The sequence below is a fragment of the Homo sapiens genome, chromosome 4 (assembly GCF_000001405.40).
Source record: "Homo sapiens chromosome 4, GRCh38.p14 Primary Assembly".
Lineage (NCBI taxonomy): Eukaryota > Metazoa > Chordata > Mammalia > Primates > Hominidae > Homo > Homo sapiens.
The window spans coordinates 146,314,192-146,334,861 of NC_000004.12; the positions used below are offsets into that span (position 1 = coordinate 146,314,192).

General features: G+C 38.9%; 1 protein-coding gene across 11 annotated transcripts in view, besides 5 other annotated features; it reads right to left on the reverse strand.

Moving 5' to 3' along the window:
• Positions 1-20,670, reverse strand: part of SLC10A7 (solute carrier family 10 member 7) — a 267,960-nt gene that overhangs the window by 60,211 nt on the left and 187,079 nt on the right. For 10 of the 11 annotated variants that reach the window (XR_007057973.1, NR_133924.2, XR_001741332.3 and 7 more), the window contains one exon: positions 11,770-11,805. Coding sequence is in view for 5 of the 11 variants with exons in the window: in NM_001317816.2 (NP_001304745.1) it covers positions 11,770-11,805 (36 nt within the window). In the remaining 6 variants the exon portion in view is untranslated. Of the gene's footprint in view, positions 1-11,763; positions 11,806-20,670 lie in introns of those variants that run through there. The other variant, XM_047416249.1, reaches the window with a different exon arrangement.
• Positions 14,700-15,899: an enhancer, noted in NCBI's record as "MED14-independent group 3 enhancer chr4:147250043-147251242 (GRCh37/hg19 assembly coordinates)". NCBI's record gives its function as "activates an origin of replication core promoter dependent on BRD2, BRD4, P300/CBP and CDK7 cofactors, and independent of MED14, by STARR-seq in HCT116 cells {active_cell/tissue: HCT116}" and the evidence as "EXISTENCE:reporter gene assay evidence [ECO:0000049][PMID:35650434]".
• Positions 19,403-19,512: an enhancer, noted in NCBI's record as "active region_21983". NCBI's record gives its function as "activates an Ori minimal core promoter by ATAC-STARR-seq in GM12878 lymphoblastoid cells {active_cell/tissue: GM12878}" and the evidence as "EXISTENCE:reporter gene assay evidence [ECO:0000049][PMID:35858748]".
• Positions 19,593-19,662: an enhancer, noted in NCBI's record as "active region_21984". NCBI's record gives its function as "activates an Ori minimal core promoter by ATAC-STARR-seq in GM12878 lymphoblastoid cells {active_cell/tissue: GM12878}" and the evidence as "EXISTENCE:reporter gene assay evidence [ECO:0000049][PMID:35858748]".
• Positions 19,783-19,832: an enhancer, noted in NCBI's record as "active region_21985". NCBI's record gives its function as "activates an Ori minimal core promoter by ATAC-STARR-seq in GM12878 lymphoblastoid cells {active_cell/tissue: GM12878}" and the evidence as "EXISTENCE:reporter gene assay evidence [ECO:0000049][PMID:35858748]".
• Positions 19,843-19,932: an enhancer, noted in NCBI's record as "active region_21986". NCBI's record gives its function as "activates an Ori minimal core promoter by ATAC-STARR-seq in GM12878 lymphoblastoid cells {active_cell/tissue: GM12878}" and the evidence as "EXISTENCE:reporter gene assay evidence [ECO:0000049][PMID:35858748]".

A 20,670-nucleotide genomic window follows, 5' to 3' on the forward strand; every position in this document is an offset into this window, starting at 1 on the left:
CTGTTACGTGGGATTATGCATCAAGTAACCATAGTAGCTACTCAATAAAAATTATCCTACCCCAGAAAAACAAGGTTTCTTATACAAAGATGTGAGAATTCAAACCTATTGAATTTAAGAACTACTGAAATGGAAACTAATTGGAGAGACAGTCAGATCAAGGGAACATATAGTTAGCCTAGAAACAGAGCCTGGTATGTATATATTCTGTGTACATATGTGTTTGTGTATACACATGCATATGTGTATATCAGTCCAATGATCACAGTGCCTTATAAACCTACTTGCTGAGGGGCCAGCTCTCTAAGAAACCAAGTCATATAAAACCAGTTGATAGAATAGAAGAGCTAGCAGTGCCCCCATTTACTCAAGGGGTGCTTACATGATTCCGAGTGGGTGAGCATGTAGGCCAATGTTTGTCAAATACCCCAAGGTAATGATGTGACCATCCCCATATATGAAGATGGTGTCATCTATGAACTCTGAGGATGACTTTCAGCAGTGGTCAAAGCTTGCACTCCACATGTTTCAAGAGGTCTTGATGCTCAATTGACCTTTATGGCTGGAGAGAGGAGAAGTGTGGCTTTGGTCTGTCATTCTAATGGTAAAAACTCAAAGTGTTACTGACCTTTCTCTGCCAATTATGCACCTATTTAAATAAATTGATGGTCTGCAGAATTTGGGGGCTTGAGCTCATGACAACACCATCCAATATATGGTTTCCTTAGACTGCAATTACACAGAATTAGACTGATTTGTTTCTATGGTGTGAACAGCTATCTTTGACCTACTTTGTCTTTCAGAGGGAGTAGGAAAGAAGCCTAGATACACAGGTAGCTTCCTTTCATTCCTCTTCTTAGAGTAAGCAAGATGTAGTTGGGGAGAAAGTATAAGTTAACTACTACGGAGACTGGTAGTCATATGGAGACTGCACAACTTGTAGAGAACAGGAGTCCACAGAAGGAAAGATTTCAAAATGCTTGATCAACTGTCCTAGTACTGTTCACTAGGGTTTAAAACCCAACCACCTGACTTCACAGCCAAAGTGCTTAACTCAGCCCTATCGCCTCTTCATCTTAATTACCATCCTATACTACTTTTCAAGTTTTAGAATCTCTCTCCTTCAGTCTTCTCTATTATATGCTGCTGATAAAGACCATAATAATGGCTGCTAAACACAGTATTAGTGATAAACCACATCAAAGGAAAGGAAAGATATGCAAGTTTTTAAGTGATGTTAGACACAGCAGAGAATCAGAACCATGCAAATGAAAACAAAAAACTGAAGTAAGAAAGAGATCCATTGAGAAACATTGGAAGTTTCTATCTACCTTTTCATTCTCCTCAAATTAAAAATTTTCTTTCAGTAGAAAATTTATTGCAAAAAATCTACTACTATTTAATGAAGTGTTTTCTATGTTAGTAATCTCCTTTGAAATATAACTGTGAAATTATAATTTCTAAGTTGAATTTTAATTATTTGTGCATGTATCCTCTTTTCTCTATTAAACCATAAGATCTTTAATGAAAGGATCAATGTCAGATTAATCTTTGTAGTACTCACAATACACAATAGGTTTCAATAAAAGGATGATTATTTTGCTTAAGATTATTAAAAAACTATAATTTATTTTTCATAGCAAATAAAAGGTAAGATGTTATGAGTCAGGTTGAGTTCCTAACCTCCTAACCATTCATTTATCATTTGAATCATTCTAATCATTCATTACTCATCTACCTTTCTATTGCCCTCCTTCCAATAAATATTTATTGAATACTTGGCATTGAAGATAAGGTAATGAATAAGACATGCACAATTTCAATTCCTGGCCTGTTAGATGTTAAAATCTAGTGGACACTTGCCACTTGTACCACTGTTTCATAAGGAAGATTAATATGAAATTCCAAGTAACGAACTTATAAGTACAGTTTTTAAAGCTGGACAAGGCGTTAATTTATCCTCACAGACAGGAACTCCATGGACTGAGGAAGATATACTGAGAAAATAAAGAAGAACAAGAATTTCTGCCCTTGCCTAAATGAGAGATATGCTATCAAGATAATTGAGGTAATGTATTTGAAAGCACTCTCGGTCCATGATAATCTGAATGTTTCTGTGCCCCTAAAATTTGTATATTTAAATCCAAACCCCCTGGGTGCTGGTATTGGGAGACAGGACTTTGGGAGGTGATTAGGTCCTGAGGGTGGAGACCTTATGAATGAATTAGTGCTCTTATAAAAGAGGCCCTAGAGAGCTGCCTTGCCCTTTCCACCTTGTGAGGACACAGCAAAAAAGCAGCCATCTATGACCCAGAAAGCAGGCCTTTACCAGACACTGAATCTGCCTTCATCTTGGACTTCCCAGCTTCCAGAACTGTCAGAAATAAATTTCTTTTGTTTATAAGCCACCCAGTTTGTGGTATTTTTTTTACAGTAGCCTGGATGAACTAAGACAGGATCTTAGTAGTAAAAGGTGATACTTCAGGGAAAGTTTCACTGCTGGCCATGGTAAACATTGGACTCAATTACACACAAGATTATAAAATTATAGATTATGTATGGTTATAGAATCCTAAAGTTTTAAGTCTTAGGACTCAGCCCGTGATTAATATCTGAAGTAGTTGGCCAGCTGCTGCATTTCAGATGATGCTTTTGTAGAATCTTGATATCCTCCAGGGATTCTATTTTTCTCTATTAAGTGTCAAATGTAACATTTGCTTGGCTCTTTACAGTTTACAATATGCTTCCACAAAAATTAACTCATTTCATCTTATCATAATCTTCATTTTACAGAGGTAAAAACTGAGGCTGAGAAGGGTTAAAGAAAACCTACTTTTACATAACTGGTACTGGCTGCCAATTAAACCAGAATTTTATACCTTTTCATCATACTGTGCTACCTCTCTACAAATAGAGTGTGAGGGAAAGTGTACTCAGTTCCTTCAAAGTGGCTTCATAATAAAGAATATGTCTCTGAAGTTAGAGCATATAACAAGAAAACAGCAGTTTTAAAAATAGCTCCAACCCAACTTTTTGGACAGATGCATCCATTCATTTGTCCAACCATGCATTCACTTTCATTCAAAACATTCAAAAACATTCAAAAAATGTTTTTGAGTGGCTTCAACTGCCAGGCACTATTTTGGGTATTGGGATTATGACGGTGACTAAAACAGATAAAGTCCCTGCTCTCTTGTGATGCTTACATTCTAGTTGGAGAACATAGATAAACAAATTAACAAATGATTAAGATGTCATGAGATAATAAACACTAACAGGAATATATGATGGTTAATTTTAATGTGTCAACTTGACTGAACTATGGGATGTCCAGTTGGTAAAACATTGTTTTTGGGTGTATCTGTTTGGGTATGTCTGGAAGATATTAGCATTTAAATTAGTACACTGAGTAAAGAAGATCCACCCTCACCAATGGGGGCAAGTGTCATCCAATCCACTGAGGGCCTGTATTGAACAAAAAGGCAGAAGTAGGGTGAATTTACTCCTGTCTTGAGCTGGGATATCCATCTTCTCCTTGAACACTGGGACTATGGGTTCTTGGGTCTTTTGGCTCCAGGACCTATACCAGCCACCACCCCCAACCCCCAGTTCTTAGGCCTTCAAACTCAGACTGGAGCTAAGAGTTATACTATTGGCTTCTCTGATTCTCAGTCCTTTGGCCTTGGACTGAATTACATCATTGCCTTTGCCATTTTCCCAGCTTCCAGATAGCAGATAGTGGGACTTCTAGGCTCCATAATTGCATGAGTCAATTCCCATAATAAATCTCTCTCTCTAGGAGGCTACTATGCACTAGAGCTCACTCCCTTTCTCCTGCTCAAGGACATGTGTCCACAAGCTCTCCCTTATTTTTTCTGTATCAGTTTTTCTCTCCATAACTGGGTTAATCCGATTGACACAAATATGCCACTAATTTTCCCAATTTAAACAAAATCTTCTCTTCATATTTTATTACTTTGTTAGTACCCCATTTTCTGTACCCTTTACAGAAACATTTCCCTAAGAGAGTTATCAATTATCACTGTCTTTAACTCTTCTTCCATTCTTTCCTCAACCCATCCAATCAGGCTTTGAACTACAAAACTTTGATGAAATAGCTCTTGTTAAGGTCCTCAATGACCTCTGTCTTCTTAAAACCAATGGTCAATTCTGAAACTTCATTTTATTTGAAATATTAGCAGCAACTGAAGTAGTTGATCACTCTCCCCTTTTTGAAACACATTCTCTGCTAAACTTCTAGGACACCAAAATTTCTCAGTGTTCCTCCTAAGTCAACTGGTCATTCCTTGGTCTACTTTGTGAATCTCTTACTATTGCAGTGTCCTAGCACTTGATCCTCTGATATCTTTCATTCTTTATTATTGCTTTCTTCCAGTCTAATTTAAAACCCATCCAGATGCTGACGTCTCCCAAATATACATCTCTAGTTAAGATCTTTTTCCTGAATTCCAGACTCATATAGTCCATTGCTTACCTGATGTCTCTACTTAGATGTCTGAAAGTCAGTGGAATCCAAGTATCTCCCATGCTGAATTATCCTTATGAGTTCCTTCAACCTGCTCAACCCTAAAATCTTCCCTATCTTAGTAAATGGCAACTCTACACTTCCAGCTGCTCAGGCCTGGAGTCATCTTTGACTCTTCTCTTTCCCAAAAAACCTTCATTCAATCTCTTAGTTCTACTTTCCAGTTCTACTTACAACTATCTCCTATCAGATTTACTCAACCACTCTGGTCCAAGCTAACAGGATCACTTGCCATAATATCATTAGCTTTCTAACTGGTCTTCCTGCCTCCACCATGGTCCCCTTACAATCTGTTCTCAGTCCAGCATCCAGAATCATTCTTTAAAAAAGTACAGCAGAACATGCATTCCTTTTATCAAAACCCATTTAATGGTTTCCTGTCTCTCTCAAATTAAAATTCCAAGTCCTTACAAAGGACTTTAAGGTCCTAAATCATTTGTCCCCTGCTCTGTCTCTGACATCATCTTAATTTACTCTCTCCCTTGTTCACTGTATTCCAGTCACACTGGCCACCTTGGTGTTTCTTAAGGACACTGGGTATACTCCCAGGACCTTTGCACTTAGTGTTCCTTCCACCTGGAACACTCTATCCCTAGAAGGCTCACTTTCTTATCTCTTCCAGATCTTTGCTCAAATATCATTTTCTCAGTGAATCTGAACTTAACCATCCTATTTAAAATAGCAACTCTCCCATCCTAATCTAGTACTTCCTATTCCTCTACATTATTTATTTTTGTCTTCAGCACTTATCACCCATCTCACACACTATATTTCTACTTATCTGTTGGTTCTTTCCACTAGTATTCTCAAAATGCTGTTTTGAGAGCAAAGACACATCTGTTTTACTTATTGTTATATTCCCACACCTGGGATGGTGTCTGGCATGCAGAAATAACTCAGTATATATTATTGAATGAGTAATGAATAAGTTTAAATAACTTTTTTGAGGAATTCTGCTACAAAAAGGGAGCACAGAAGTGGAGTGCAGGTAGGATAAGGTGAGGTTTAATTTTAAGATGTGTAATATTACAGAATGCTTATATGCTAATAGAAATAATCCAGTAGAGAGAGAAAATGTGAAAATATAGGAGAAAAAGGAATATCTGTATGAATCATATCATTAAGTAGGACATAATAAATGACATAACTCAAAAAACTTCCTTTAGAGGGGAGAAAAGACAGTTTATCTATAGAAACAGGAGAAAAGGCGAAGAATATGGCTACAGATGCAGGTGGGTGGGACCACGTAAAATTTCTCTGATTGCTTATTTCCTCATCAGCCAATTTCCTTTTGGCAATACTTGATATGAAAAAAGAGGCACTGGAGATTTGAGAGGCAAGGAGAAGGTGTGAAATGATCCTCTAGAGAGTGGAAGAGTGAATTAATTAAAGGAAAGTAGTAGAATTTCCAGGCTTACTTACATTTAGTTGTCATGAATTTCAAATGAGACCAGTCAGCATGGTAGTATGTTTGCTCCAGCATGTTCAGGTACATATGCAGGAAGGTGAAGAGTTAAGAGTTCAGCAGGGTTAGTACTTTGCCAGGCAAATATGAAGCAGTAGAGATGAGCAAGATTGTTGATGGTGTATGTAACAAAGGAATTATAATGATGGACCCATGAGGCCTAGGCTGGGTAAGATGGGATGTGAGGGCATGGGGTGAGAGTAGGGTGGGTATAGTTAGATGGATCGTAAAGGTGATAAAGTAAATGAATTGGCCATTCCAGTGAAGAACTTTTGATTTTGGGAATAAATCATAAGATAGGAGCTGTTAATCAGAGAGGACATTTGAAAATTGGATTATTGAGGGATGCAGTTATGGGCAATAACAAAGTGAAGGACCTGGAATAGTTGGCTGAAATAAAGTGGAGGGCAAGCTTGCTGGAGAAGAGTTCAAGAATTTAGAGACCAGGGTATTGGAAGGACCAACTATGTGAATACTGAAAATACCAAGAATCTTTAAAGCATACTGTTAAAAAGAAAACAATGGGAAGATGCTAACATTTTTTTTGGACTGATAGTGGCCTGGGGTTCTATTGATAATTACAACAAAGAGGAGTAGCAGGTGGTATAGCTGTGTTGGTACAACCTTCAAAGGAACCAGGGCATTTTATGGAGAACGCATGGGAAATGATCTGGAATTGGCAATGAGGTACAAGGAAGACACTTTTCCCCAATTCAAGACTGTGGCAGAAACATGAATCAGAGGACAGGTTTTGATTGGAGCAAGAAAGTGAAGGAAATATTCTGAGAAAAGGTTAGGAATACAGCTGAGATTCCACCAGCAAAAATGGCCTTCATTAGCTCCTATGCCTGAATACCCAGAAATTTCCATTTTATGATATGATAAAATAAGACAATACTATTTCCAGGAGTTGTATTAGTTTCTTGTACTTCTATAACAAAGCCCCAAAACTGGGCAACTTGAAACAACAGAAATATATTGCCTCATGGTTCTAGAAGCTCTAAATCCGAAATCAAGCAGAGCCATGTTCCCTATGAAATCTACAGGAGAGAATACTTCATCTCCTTTATATTCTGATGCTTGCCAGCAATCTTTGGTATTTCTTGGCCTGTGGATGTATCACTTTAATCTCTGCCTCCATCATCACATAGAATTCCACCTGTGTGTCTCTACCTTCTCTTCTTGTTCTTATAAGGACATCAATCTTATTTGATTCAGGGCCCACTCTATTCCAGTATGTCCTCATCTTAACTAATTACTTTTGCAATTACCTGATGTCCAAACAAGACCACATTCTGATATACTTGGAGTCAAAACCTCAACATATCCTTTTAGGGGAAACAATTCAACTCACAACAGGGACATTGAGAAAAACAGTACACCTTTTATGGAATGTGTTCATATATAAACATTTTTAAGAGATGGGGTCTCTGTATGTTGCCCAGGAAGGTCTTGAACTCCTGGGCTCAAGTGATCCTCACACCTTTGCCTATCAAAGTGCTGGGATTATAGGTGTGAGCCACCACATCTGGCCTTGTTCACATTTTAAGTCATTCAGGTTCTTGCTCCGTTACTTGCTCAGTAAATGAGTTCTTGCTCAGTTACTTGCTCATTATTTGCTCAGTAAATGAGGCCTCGTAACCCAAATGCTTAAGACATTTCCATTGTTTATAAAATGCATGACAACCTAAACAGAGAAAAAGTGTTATATGCGATGCATATGATGTAAAGTCAAAATACCATAAGTATCTAATGATGTGTGTGATAATGCCACTGAACCTACTGGGATAGCCCCGTTGACTCAGAAGGGAAGCGTTAAACTTTTACATTGAGGGTCTTGGCAAGTCTTTCATTATTGTAGCTCTATAATTTTAGAATGTTGAACATTACAACTAAAGTTCATGAGCCTATGGGTCTGTGAGTAGGGGAAAGCTTGTAATAAAGTGATGCCATAATTTTTATCAGCATGTTACCGCACAGATATGGAAAGGAGGGGAAGAAAATTACTCTTTGGTTCTTTTTTTAATTATTATTATACTTTAAGTTCTAGGGTACATGTGCGCAATGTGCAGGTTTGTTACATATGTATACATGTGCCATGTTGGTGTGCTACACCCATTAACTCATCATTTACATTAGGTATATCTCCTAATGCTATCCCTCCCCCCTCCCCCACCCCATAACAGGCCCCAGTGTGTGATGTTCCCCTTCCTGTGTCCATGTGTTCTCATTGTTCAATTCCCACCTATGAGTCAGAACATGCGGTGTTTGGTTTTTTGTCCTTGTGATAGTTTGCTGAGAATGATGGTTTCCAGCTTCATCCATGTCCCCCTACAAAGGACATGAATTCATCATTTTTTATGGCTGCATAGTATTCCATGGTGTATATGTGCCACATTTTCTTAATGCAGTCTATCATTGATAGACATTTGGGTTGGTTCCAAGTCTTTGCTATTGTGAATAGTACCACAATAAACATACGTGTGCATGTGTCTTTATAGCAGCATGATTTATAATCCTTTGGGTATATACCCAGTAATGGGATGGCTGGGTCAAATGGTATTTCTAGTTCTAGACCCTTGAGGAATCACCACACTGTCTTCCACAATGGTTGAACTAGTTTACCATCCCACCAACAGTGTAAAAATGTTCCTATTTCTCCATATCCTCTCCAGCACCTGTTGTTTCCTGACTTTTTAATGATTGCCATTCTAACTGGTATGAGATGGTATCTCATTGTGGTTTTGATTTGCATTTCTCTGATGGCCAGTGATGATGAGCATTTTTTCATGTGTCTGTTGGCTGCATAAATGTTTTCTTCTGAGAAATGTCTGTTGATATCCTTTGCCCACTTGTTGATGGGGTTGCTTTTTCTTGTAAATTTGTTTGAGTTCCTTGTAGATTCTGGATATTGCCCCTTGTCAGATGAGTAGATTGCAAAAATTTTCTCCCATTCTGTAGGTTGCCTGTTTACTCTGATGGTAGTTTCTTTTGCTGTGCAGAAGCTCCTTAGTTTTTAGTTTAATTAGATTCCATTTGTCAATTTTGGCTTTTGTTGCCATTGCTTTTGGTGTTTTAGACATGAAGTCCTTGCCCATGCCTATGTTCTGAATGGTACTGCCTAGGAGGTTTTCTTCTAGGGTTTTTATGGTTTTAGGTCTAACATGTAAGTCTTTAATCCATCTTGAATTAATTATTGTATACGGTGTAAGGAAGGGATCCAGTTTCAGCTTTCTACATATGGCTAGCCAGTTTTCCCAGCACCATTTATTAAATAGGGAAACCTTTCCCCATTTCTTGTTTTTGTCAGGTTTGTCAAAGATCACATGGTTGCAGATGTGTGGTATTATTTCTGAGGGCTTTGTTCTGTTCCACTGGTCTCTCTGTTTTGGTACCAGTACCATGCTGTTTTGGTTACTGTAGCCTTGTAGTATATTTTGAAGTCAGGTAGCGTGATGCCTCCAGCTTTGTTCTTTTGGCTTAGGATTGACTTGGCAATGTGGGCTCTTTTTTGGTTCCATATGGCAAAAACTGGAAGCATTCCCTTTGAAAACTGGCACAAGACAGGGATGCCCTCTCTCACCACTCCTATTCAACATAGTGTTGGAAGTTCTGGCCAGGGCAATCAGGCAGGAGAAAGAAATAAAGGGTATTCAATTAGGAAAAGAGGAAGTCAAATTGTCCCTGTTTGCAGATGACATGATTGTATATCTAGAAAACCCCATCATCTGAGCCCAAAATCTCCTTAAGCTGATAAGCAACTTCAGCAAAGTCTCAGTATACAAAATCATTGTGCAAAATTCAAAAGCATTCTTATACACCAATAACAGACAAACAGAGAGCCAAATCACGAGTGAACTCCCATTCACAATTGCTTCAAAGAGAATAAAATACCTAGGAATCCAACTTACAAGGGATATGAAGGACCTCTTCAAGGAGAACTACAAACCACTGCTCAACGAAATAAAAGAAGATACAAACAAATGGAAGAACATTCCATGCTCATGGATAGGAAGAATCAATATCGTGAAAATGGCCATATTGCCCAAGGTAATTTGTAGATTCAATGCCATCCCCATCAAGCTACCAATGACTTTCTTCACAGAATTGGAAAAAACTACTTTAAATTTCATATGGAACCAAAAAAGAGCCTGCATTGCCAACTCTTTGGTTCTTTAATCACAAGTCAAAAAAGGGTCTCAGAGATTCCAGCCTCTGAGATACTCCAAGATGTTACAACCTAGGCCTCAGCCACCTAATTGTGGCTGTAACATCTCCCCCGCTCTTCTTAAATGAGTTACATGAGTAAGAGATGTCTCTCTTCCATAATGAAGAAAACCCAGGTGATGCAGCCATTCATTGTGCACTTACCAGATGCTGAGCTCTATACTAGTCCCTTGACCTACTGCAAGTGGGGACCTCAGACAGGCCTGCATCCTGTGCCCACCAAGGGTTGCATCTGGGAAACTGTCCTGTGATCCCAGGTCTTGGAAATAAACTAATGGATGATTCCAGTTTCTCACATCTAGTAGCAGGTAGTTACATAATAAGTCTTTTCTTCCAAATTAATGCAAATAGTCTCTTTGGTTTCAATTTAACTAACTGAAAATTCTGCGTTGGTGAAGTCCATGTCAATGAAGTTTGTTATGCTGAGGAAAGTGATCTGATTATTTGACTCTTCTTACCTTGTCAAAATGGAGCCAGCATTTCAAAAGGGAGGGTAAGGATGAGGTTTATTACTTGAAGGTAATGTCTTTCATGAAAGATGTGGAATCCAACTGTTTAGTAGTATATCTATCCCTCCCTATTTCCTACTCAGCGGGTAAGAAATGAAGTCCCTCATTCTATTACTCTAATTGAATTCCAACTTGGGTAATTATACTACAATTAAATAAATTTTCCCCATAGTTTTAATTCACTGATAAATAGTGTTAGTCAAACAGCTACATTACATTCCCAGAAACACATCCCCACTACATTTCAGTGATAAGCAGAGTGATTTATATTTGGAAGATGTGTGTATGAAAAGATGCACAGTTCATAAAATATTTTAGGTATCATTCATGATTACATATGCCTTGCTCAGCATGAGATAACATTAATTTCTATTATAATCTTTCATCTAATTTCTCATATGCTTAGTGCCAAAAGAAATAAGACAGCTAATTAGCATTTCTTGTTTTCAGAACAGTTTTTGTTTAGTTAACTAGAAGCGTGTATTGATTTGTATTTTTAATTTTTAAAGCACCTTTCATTATCTCTGGGCGATAGAATGGAGGAGGTGTTACTTCCCATTCTACAGATGAAAAAAATTGAGGCAGCCTTCCCCAAGGTGAGGAAGCTAGTTATCATCAGTATCAGCCTTGGAACCCAAGCTTCCTCTGATCCCTGGTCCTAGGGCTCTTTCTGTTAAACACTATCAAACACTGGGTCACTATCAATCACTTTAGTTTTACTAATGAGAAAATAAAGAGCAGCGCAGTTTTTGTAACCTGTGTCATGGGGTCATTTATTTGTAATATAATGATTTAGCCAGGAGCTGGAGGCCTAATGACTGGGTCCTGATCCTGTTCTTGGATCATGAAATTATGAAGCTTCTTCGTATCTGAATATTATTATGCGGTACAGCTAAACTGGAACAACAATTCCAAATATGGTGCAAAATAATTCAAATTTCATTTTTGTTCTAATGACCTTTCTTAAAGGGTTGTAGATAGCTTTTAATAAAATATATTAAAGACAACATCAAAATACTCACAAAAAGCAGCAGGAGCAGGGGTGTTATAACGATGCCCTGAAAGAAATAAAAGAGAGGATGATCATTTATCAGCCTGGAAAGCAGGACACTTTCTTTGCCATTTTAAACTCTGAGGCATAGGAGTGCTTATCTTCTCACTGCTGTTTAATAAAATCTAGGAGATAAAGAGGGGAGAGTCCCAATCTTAGCTTTCTCTTCCATAATAACATCTCTATTACAATTATTTGTATTTGGCAGCCTGAAAGCACAACCACCAATCTGCCTTAGGTTCATCTTTCCTTTTGTAAACCTAAATTCCCTTCCACATTGCACGTGGATCATACAGATAGAAGCTGGTGGCTGGCAAGCTTCCTCACTCCAAGGCTTTCAACTCTAACTTGGATAAAATGCCCCTTTTTGAGAGAAGACAGGTGGTTTAGTCCCAGTTGGGGTCCTCTCCTGAGCAAAGACCACGTCAGTTGTGATGAATGAGATGTCATGATTTTGTAATGTGAACTGGTCTCCCCTAGGAAATGAGCTGGGATCTCAAAACTCATTTCACTTGATTAGACTTCATGTCTCCATGGTGGAAGGCAAGTCTTTCATCTAATTCAGCCACATAGGACCACCTCGGTCCCTCTGCCTCCCCTAGGCAGAAATGAGCAAAAGATTTGTTTTCTTCGATGACAGGGAACAGTTTGAGGCTGTTGCCAATGAGGCAGAATACCAGCTTTTAGGTTTCTTGAAGGCAAATCTTTAAAACTAAGTGTTTGAGTTGGGAGTTGTAATGACAGGCTTCAGTTTTGGAGCAGCAGATGATTATTTGCCCGTTTTAGTTTTTCCTTTGTCTCTCAACATTTCATTATGATTTATACCAGAAAAAACATTTCAGATTTTTATTAATGAATTCTACTTGGAATTTTAAAATTTCAGAGAATCTGAGGTTGTGCGTGCCTAAGACAGAAAAGAGAGGGACAGACACACACACACACACACACACACACACACACACACACACACACACACACAGAAAAAGAGAGAGAGAGAGAGAGAGAGACAGATAGACAGAGGTACTATATATCCAGACAGTGTCCAAGATCCAGATCTGGGACTACTTCATTACTTTTGGAAGAAAAAAAGTCCTTTTGGTATTTACATGAAAGTCCCTGTGTCATAACAGTCACTCAAGTGTTTTGCATGTGGCCCAAGAGGGACTGGCTTACCTTAAATGAACAATGCTACCATGACTTTCTGGGGCATATACACATGTGAATATCCACAGACAGACTTGTTTTGTTATTAAATAATAGAATGAACATTTTTTATTGTGCACACTTTTGCAATTGGCCAAAGAGAATACAATATTTTAATCTAAGAATCACTTTAAATCCTACTTATTAAAACAGGTATTGTGGCCTATCAACTCCATTGGTATCTATGAAACAGGTTCTCATTAACACATTTAGGAGAGCCAAATGTGCTAAATGACAAATAACTGATAACTTCGAAGGGCTACTGTCCTTCAATGACTTGTACTAAGTTCAGACTTTAGGAGGAATTCCAAATTTTACAGGGCCACATAAAAATGAAAATATCTAGCTGACTCAGTCTATATGAGAGGCATTCAATTTCAAGCAGATTTGTTTAAACATATAATTAAACATCCACTTATATACTGGGTACTGGGCTCATCCAAGAGATTCAAGAGTAAGTACAACATGGTCCCTATGCTTAAACAGCTTATAATCCAGTAGAGGACACTGATCTATAAACAAGGTTCAATATAGAATGATATAACTGCTGCGACCGGCGCTGCCACAACTACCTGTGCGCATTGTCCAGGGGCCTGAGGATTGATAGCCCCCACCCCTGTGCCACTGCATCTAGCGCCCATGTGCACCATTGGGGGGCCTGAGAATAGGCCCACTCTGCCTGCACTGGCACATGTGCACATCATCTGAGGGTCTGGAGATCAATATATGCCACTCACTGGCATCTGCAGGCACCGTCTGCAGACCAGAGGTCAGGCCAGCCCCACCTGCCACAAGTGCACTGGCACCTCTGCACATCATATGGGGGCCTAGGGAATGACCCACCCTGCTCCCTGCCACTGGCGCCTGTGCACACCATTGGGAGGCCTCAAGAGAAGCCCACCCTGCCTGTTGCCTCCACTACCAGCACCAACATACACCCTCTAGGGCACTAAGACTAGGCCTGGCTTACCTGCTACTGCCACCTGCACAGGTCGTCTGAGAACCTGGGGATTAACCCATCCCTCCCACCAGCACCCATGTGCACCATGTGGGGGCCTGAGGACGGGCCTCCCTGTGTGCTACTAATGTTCATGTTGTCTGGGGGCCTCGGGATTTACCCACACTTCCTTATCACCACTGGTGCTTGTGTGGACTATTGGGAGGCCTGAGGAGAGACCTCTCTCACCTGCCACTCCAGCCACCAGTGCCTATGGACAACATTCCAGGGCCTGGGAATTAATCTGCCCCACCTACTGCTGCTGACACCTGTTTGCATCATCGGTGGACCTTAGGAGAAGCTGTTCCTCTTCTACCACTGCTGCTGCCAGCACCCATGCACAGTGTTGGGACTCACTCTGCCCACTACTGCCAGAACCTATGCAAACCATCCCAGGCCTGAGGATAGGTCCACTCTGCACTCCACCACCACCTCTGGGGTCCATGGACTGGACTGTCTGGAGTCCCTATCCCCCAAAATGCCTCACCATAGCCTCCACTAACAACCACAACAGACACCACTGAGCTGATTACAGCTGAAGAAATACAGAGACTACAATACTGTGCCCATCCAGAATCAAAGCCAAGGCAACCTACCAAACCAACACTATAGATATATCTATAGGAAAAATTCTTTCCCTACTAAAGCCAATCTATAAAATTGGAAGAAGCAACTGTTATGCTAGATGTGCAGTAAGGACAAAAAATATGAAAAAGCAAGAAAACATGACACCTTCAAAGGAACATAATAATTCTCTGGTAACAGATCCAAAGGAGAAGGAAATTTATGAAATGCCTGAAAAAGAATTCAACATAATGATACTAAAGAAAATCAGTGAGATAGAAAAGTGTTGTTATCCACAGGTTTTTCTCCCTGAATACTTCTAATGGATAGTCAATGACACATGATAGTTTCTTTGCAGCTCTTCCAAGGACTTATAACATTTGTTCCCAAAATAGTAAAAGTTTCCTAGCAAATAGGAAGGATTTGCTAATTCTGGATTTAATATTCCTTCTTATTTTCTCAAGAATAGCTGTTCAGGTTCATTAAGAGTGAATCACTGTATAATGCTGAAACCTACTTTTCAGTTGTATTAGGAAGTGAGTCAGCCAGGAGGCATTCACTTTGAGAAGAGCACCATAATTTTTAGTAAAGTCATCATGATTATTATTAAAATAATAAAAACTAACATTTATGTAGTACTTATGTTGGATATTGTACCCAGGATTTAGCTATGTTATTTTATGTAATCCTCACACTCTCTGACATAGGTACTATTATTATATTATCCCATCTACTAGGTAAGAATGCTGAGCCTCAGAGAGACTGAGTGAAGTAGGAAGAAGCAATGCCAGGAATTGAACCTCCCCTTGACTCCAGAGCCTGTGCTCTTGAATGGTGTAAATAAAATCTTTGCATTGTTAAGTTATTTCCTCAGGGTTGTATTTTAAGAGTAAATCTGAGAGGAGTTTCAGGCTCAGTATGTCTTTTTGATAACATAAAACAAATTAAGAAGTAAGCCTTCATGTCATATGGCAGATACATTTTTTTAGAGTCAAGTTTTTGCAAATATCAGTGGTAAAAAGGGTGAGCTAAACATTTAAACTGCATCAGCAACAATCACTGAAAGCTAGAAAATTAAATAAACATGTTATTTTCTTTTGAGTATATGCAGCTCAATTTAATTATTTCTCTTTTCTCTTTCCTAAGTAAATTCTCCTGAAAATGGATAAAACCAAAGTGGTAGGAGATAAGCACTTCTAGCAAAAGATGTTACCTCCTCCTTGCAGATTCAAGGTAAGACATAGATTTAGCATCCTTGCAATTGGGATGGTGTATAAAGCTTTCTGATTGCAACACCTGAAGAAGTCAAGTCACAAACTGACTGGCTTTCGTTGTCTCCTGAAAAAACTTTCAGAAAATCCATTTACACCTCAGATGTGAATGACTAGGTGAATGTATTTCAATGACTTTAGTGGAAAGAAAGAGTGTTAAATCTTAGATAGATTTAGCTGCATCAAAATACAAACAAAAAGCCCCAAATAACAGCAAGACAACAAAACTGTGAATGTGCTTCTCTCAGCAATAGGACATGCAAAAAAAAGGCAAAACTAAAGTGAAATTATGAAATTTTTGAAATAGAAAATGTTATCAAGAGGTTTTGCTGCAACAACTACAAAGATCACACAGATATTAAAATTGACTTTTTAGATTTGTCTCCAGGATACTGCATTAACTCAGTTTTCACAGAATAAAGAATATCAGTTTTGAAAGGGATCTTAGAGATACCCTGGTCTAGTCCTCATCTAAAGTGCGAACCCCTCTCTCTGTCTCCCTCACGTCCTTATATAACGCTGAAACCTACTTTTCAGTTGCATTAGGAAATGAGTCAGCCATGATGCATTCATTCTGACAAGAGCACCATAATTAAGTTTTGGGGAAGTCATCGCAATTATTATTAAAATAATAAAAGCTAACATTTATGCAGTACTTATGCTGCATACTGTATTAAGGACTTTGTGTTATTTTAGGTAATCCTCACAACAATTCTATGAAGTAGGACAGCATTATATACAGATGGGAACTGTGATGGCTGTGCCTTTGCCAGAGAATCTCCCAGAGAGAAGACACCCTTGCTCTTCAGGCAAACAGTGGTCTGGCTGAAGCTTTCTCATGAAGAGAAAGCTCTTTCTTATATTGCTTCCAAATCACTATCACTGCTGCTCTGTCTTCCCCTTGAAGCAATTTAGGGCAGGTCTCACCCTCCTTCCTGGTGATGGCCTTTTAAATGATGCTCCTGAATGGTGTAAATAAAATCTATGCCTTCTTCAGCTATTTCCTCAGGGTTATATTTTAAGAGTAATGCTGAAGTTAGCATTTTAGACCCTACAGTAAGTTTTCTCTAGGACAAAAGTCCTCAGTTCCTCCACTGTTCCTCTTAGGGCAGGGTTCTGAGCTTTCTCTTAGACGTACACTCACCCAGATAAATTTAAGGCTCCACATTTATGGGTCAATCTCACTTATTAACAATTGACCAAAACTTGGAAATGAGGCAACAAGAGGACAGCATGTCCCTTTAATGTCATCTTGGAGTATTATCTATCAGCCAATCCAAGGTTTACTTAACCACCTTTGTTTAACTTCTATTTACTATTGGTTAAGATTCAGACTATAAAAGTATATGTTAACTTACAGAGTTTTGTTCAGTAGTGATGGAAATGGTTTCTGTCTAGTAGAAAAAATAACCACAATAACTATGGTTTTATTGCCCTGTAGGCATTGGCCAGTTTTGTCTCTAATTTAGCATACTTATTTCAGTATGCTTTTCTAATGGCCTGGGTAACCCCCATTTTTATAATCTCCCCAGAACTAGCTTTACCATCCTGATGGTTTCCTCATTATTCAGTTAAATAAATGTTTGACAGGTGTTCATTCTGTATGTATAAGAAAATCATGTTCTTAACTTTTCGAAAATTATACTTTGACAACTCCCTTCTTCTGAACTTGTATTAATGGAAATATCATTTTAAAAAAAAGATTACTGTCAATCTAAACCTCCAGGCTATCTTCATCTTTTGTCCTGTGGTCAGTATATAGTGATATCTTAAACAGTTAGTGAAAAGTCTATTCTTCAAGAATAAAATGATGTCAAACCAATATTTAATGAGTGAGACTGGTCAACAAATCCTAAGCAACAAATTATAAAGAGGTGGTATAGGGAATTCTGGACACATCTAAATTTCAACAAAATGGTCAGGGTATATAGTCTCCAAAGAATATGACATTATAAGCATGAATGTCAAGATACATAACTGAGAAAACTTTTAGAAAGAAAGAAAGAGACATTAGGAGCCTAGGGAAGGGTAGTTAGAAAGAAAGTGGTGGTGGATTGGTGAGCAAGGGCCTCTTTCCTCTCCTCTGACTATACTTTCCCCTTTACAACTAGACCTTCACAGACTAAGGATCTTAACATGCCCAAATCAAACATTTAGCAGTTATGGTCTAGCAGCTGACAGGAACATGCTGCTTTGTTTATTAGGCACGGTACACTATTGTGAAGACAGAGGCATCCAACTATTTGAGCTGGATAATACTAGCCACTGACATTGTCCAGTTAATTCTCTCTAGTCTGAGATCACGTGCTATGATTTGGCTCTGTGTCCCCACCCATATCTCATGTTGAGTTGTAATCTCCAATGTTGGTGGTGGAGCCTAGTGGGAGGTGATTGGATCACGGGGGTGGATCCTTCATGAATTGTTTAGCACCATCCCTTTGGTGTTATTTTCATGATAGTTAGTTCTTGTGAGATCTGGTTGTTTAAAAGTGTGTAGTACCTCCTACCTTGCTCACTGTCTTGCTCTTGCTTTCACCATGTGAAGTGCCTGCTCCTGCTTTGCCTTCCACCATGAGTAAGTGCTCCCTGAGGCCTCCCAGAAGCAGAGGCCATTATGCTTCCTGTATAGCCTGCAGAACCATAAGCCAATTAAGCCTCTTTTCTTTATAAATTACCCAGTCTCAGGTATTTCTTTATAGCAATGCAAGGACAGAATAATACACCATGCTTGTCAAGAAAACTTTTAGTAATAATTTTGTTTTCCAAGTAGCATTTCTGACAGGAAGATAGCACACTGACTAGTTGACATCAGTCTCCTAGAACATAACCACACTAAGGTGTGCTGATGATATTTCTGGATATGTAAAGATATGGACCTATTCCTGGATTGTGGTGATCCCATTAAAGCAATGTCACTCAGTGAGGCCTTACAGGAATGGCAGCTGGCTTGTCCTAACGACATTACATTTAATTAAGCAAACATTTATTGAGTACCATGTATCCTATATTACTGGTGCCGAGGGGAAAAGGTGAATATATGGTTTATGTCATAATAGTGTATGCCATAAACAGTTCCCACCAGAGAAAGCAGTTCTACCTGGTTCCTCTCTAACTTTAATACTTTGATCAAAAAATACCTCTATCATCTCATTCTCAAAAAAGTGTGATTTTTTTCAGGCCAAAATTAAGGGTCTTCTACACTTATATTAAACATTAGCTTATTAGATTTGGCCTATTATCTTTTCAGATTTTGATTTGTCACTGACACATTCAACATATACCTACTTAGTGACTACCATGCCAGACCCTATTAGATGATGAGACACAGAGGTGAATGACACATACACAATCAATGCCCTCAACGTTTTTTAGAGAAGACAGTTAAGCAATTACAATAAAATGATAATGTTCAAAATGAACATTACAGTGAGCTATGAGAGTGCTTAATAGGGAGGTGAAAGCAATTAAGATGAAAACTGAAAGAAGAAAAGGAGTTAACCAGGCAAAGGAGTCAGAACAGAAGAAGGGAAGGGAGAGGAAACAGGCAGAGGGAAGAGACTATAAAGGCACTGAAGGCAAGAAGAACATATAGAAACTGAAAGCGAAGAGCAGAACGTGAGGAGTGCAGCTGTGAGAGATGAAGTTAAAAGACAGATGAATCAGAAAAGCCTAGTAATCCATGGTAAGGAGTTTGGGCTTCACTTCAAAGCAAGAGGAAGACACTGGAAGAGTTTATGCAGCCATGGGTGTGGGGAGGGGCAATAGAACTGGCACAGTGCTCTCTGTGGTTAGGTAAGAATCACTCCGTGTGTACTTTAGAGAACACATTAAAGCAGAAGATTAGAGTGAGGCAGGCTAAGCAGGAGGCTATTCAGGACTCCAGGCAGAAGATGATCTGGGCTAAGGCGATGGGATCTTAGTCATCAAGATGGACCAACAGAACAGATTCAAAACGTATTTGAAAACTAGACTAGTAGACTGTTCAATTAAGTTTGTGGGGAGAGTGTCAAAACAGAAGGAAGAACAGTTTCTTAGTTTTCTGAGTTAAGTGATTCTTGACCAAACAGGAGATCATAGAGCCAATTACTGAGCCAGAGTGGAACTGGGGATGCACAGACTCATTTTTCTTGGGAAAGATGATGAGTTTGAGGTATCTGCAAGGCCTCCAACTAGAGATACTGTGATAGCTGGATTTATGGGACTGAAACTCAGAATAGGGTCTGGACAGTGAAAACAGCTGAGTAGTCCTCAGCATATAGCTTGGTGTGGTGATTTACTGCTACAGAAAATAAGTTAAGAAATGTAGACTATAGATTGAAGCTTATTGAAGGCTAGATGAAAACAATTTCAATAGATGACTAGTGTGAAAGTTAAATTGGAGTACATGGAGGGCTGAGTAAGGAGGGAAAAGAGGCAATTTGGACAAGTCTTTCCAGAAGTCTAGCTGTAAAGAGGAGGAGAGAAACAACAGCAGCAATGTAAGAAGAATGAAAGTGTGGTAAATGGAGTTCGTTGTTTTTGGTTTTGTTGTTTGCTTTGTTTTGAAAGAATCTTGAGGATTCTTAAAATTCATAGAAAAGAGGCAAAAGGGGGTCACAGGAATAGAGATTTAGTAAAGAGAAGGAATTTTACCTGTTGCAACTAAAGAGGCAGCAGGGAAGGAGCCCTAGCACAGCTAGAGGGTTTAACTTGTAGAACAGCAGAGGGTAGGTATCTCTTTATTGTAAAAGAAGAGCAGAGGTTATAGTAGGTACAGATGAACATAGGCTTGAATGCTTGATGTTGGAAAGTTGAAGACATTTTCATGTAAGACTTTCTCTTTTCTCTGTTTTGTAGA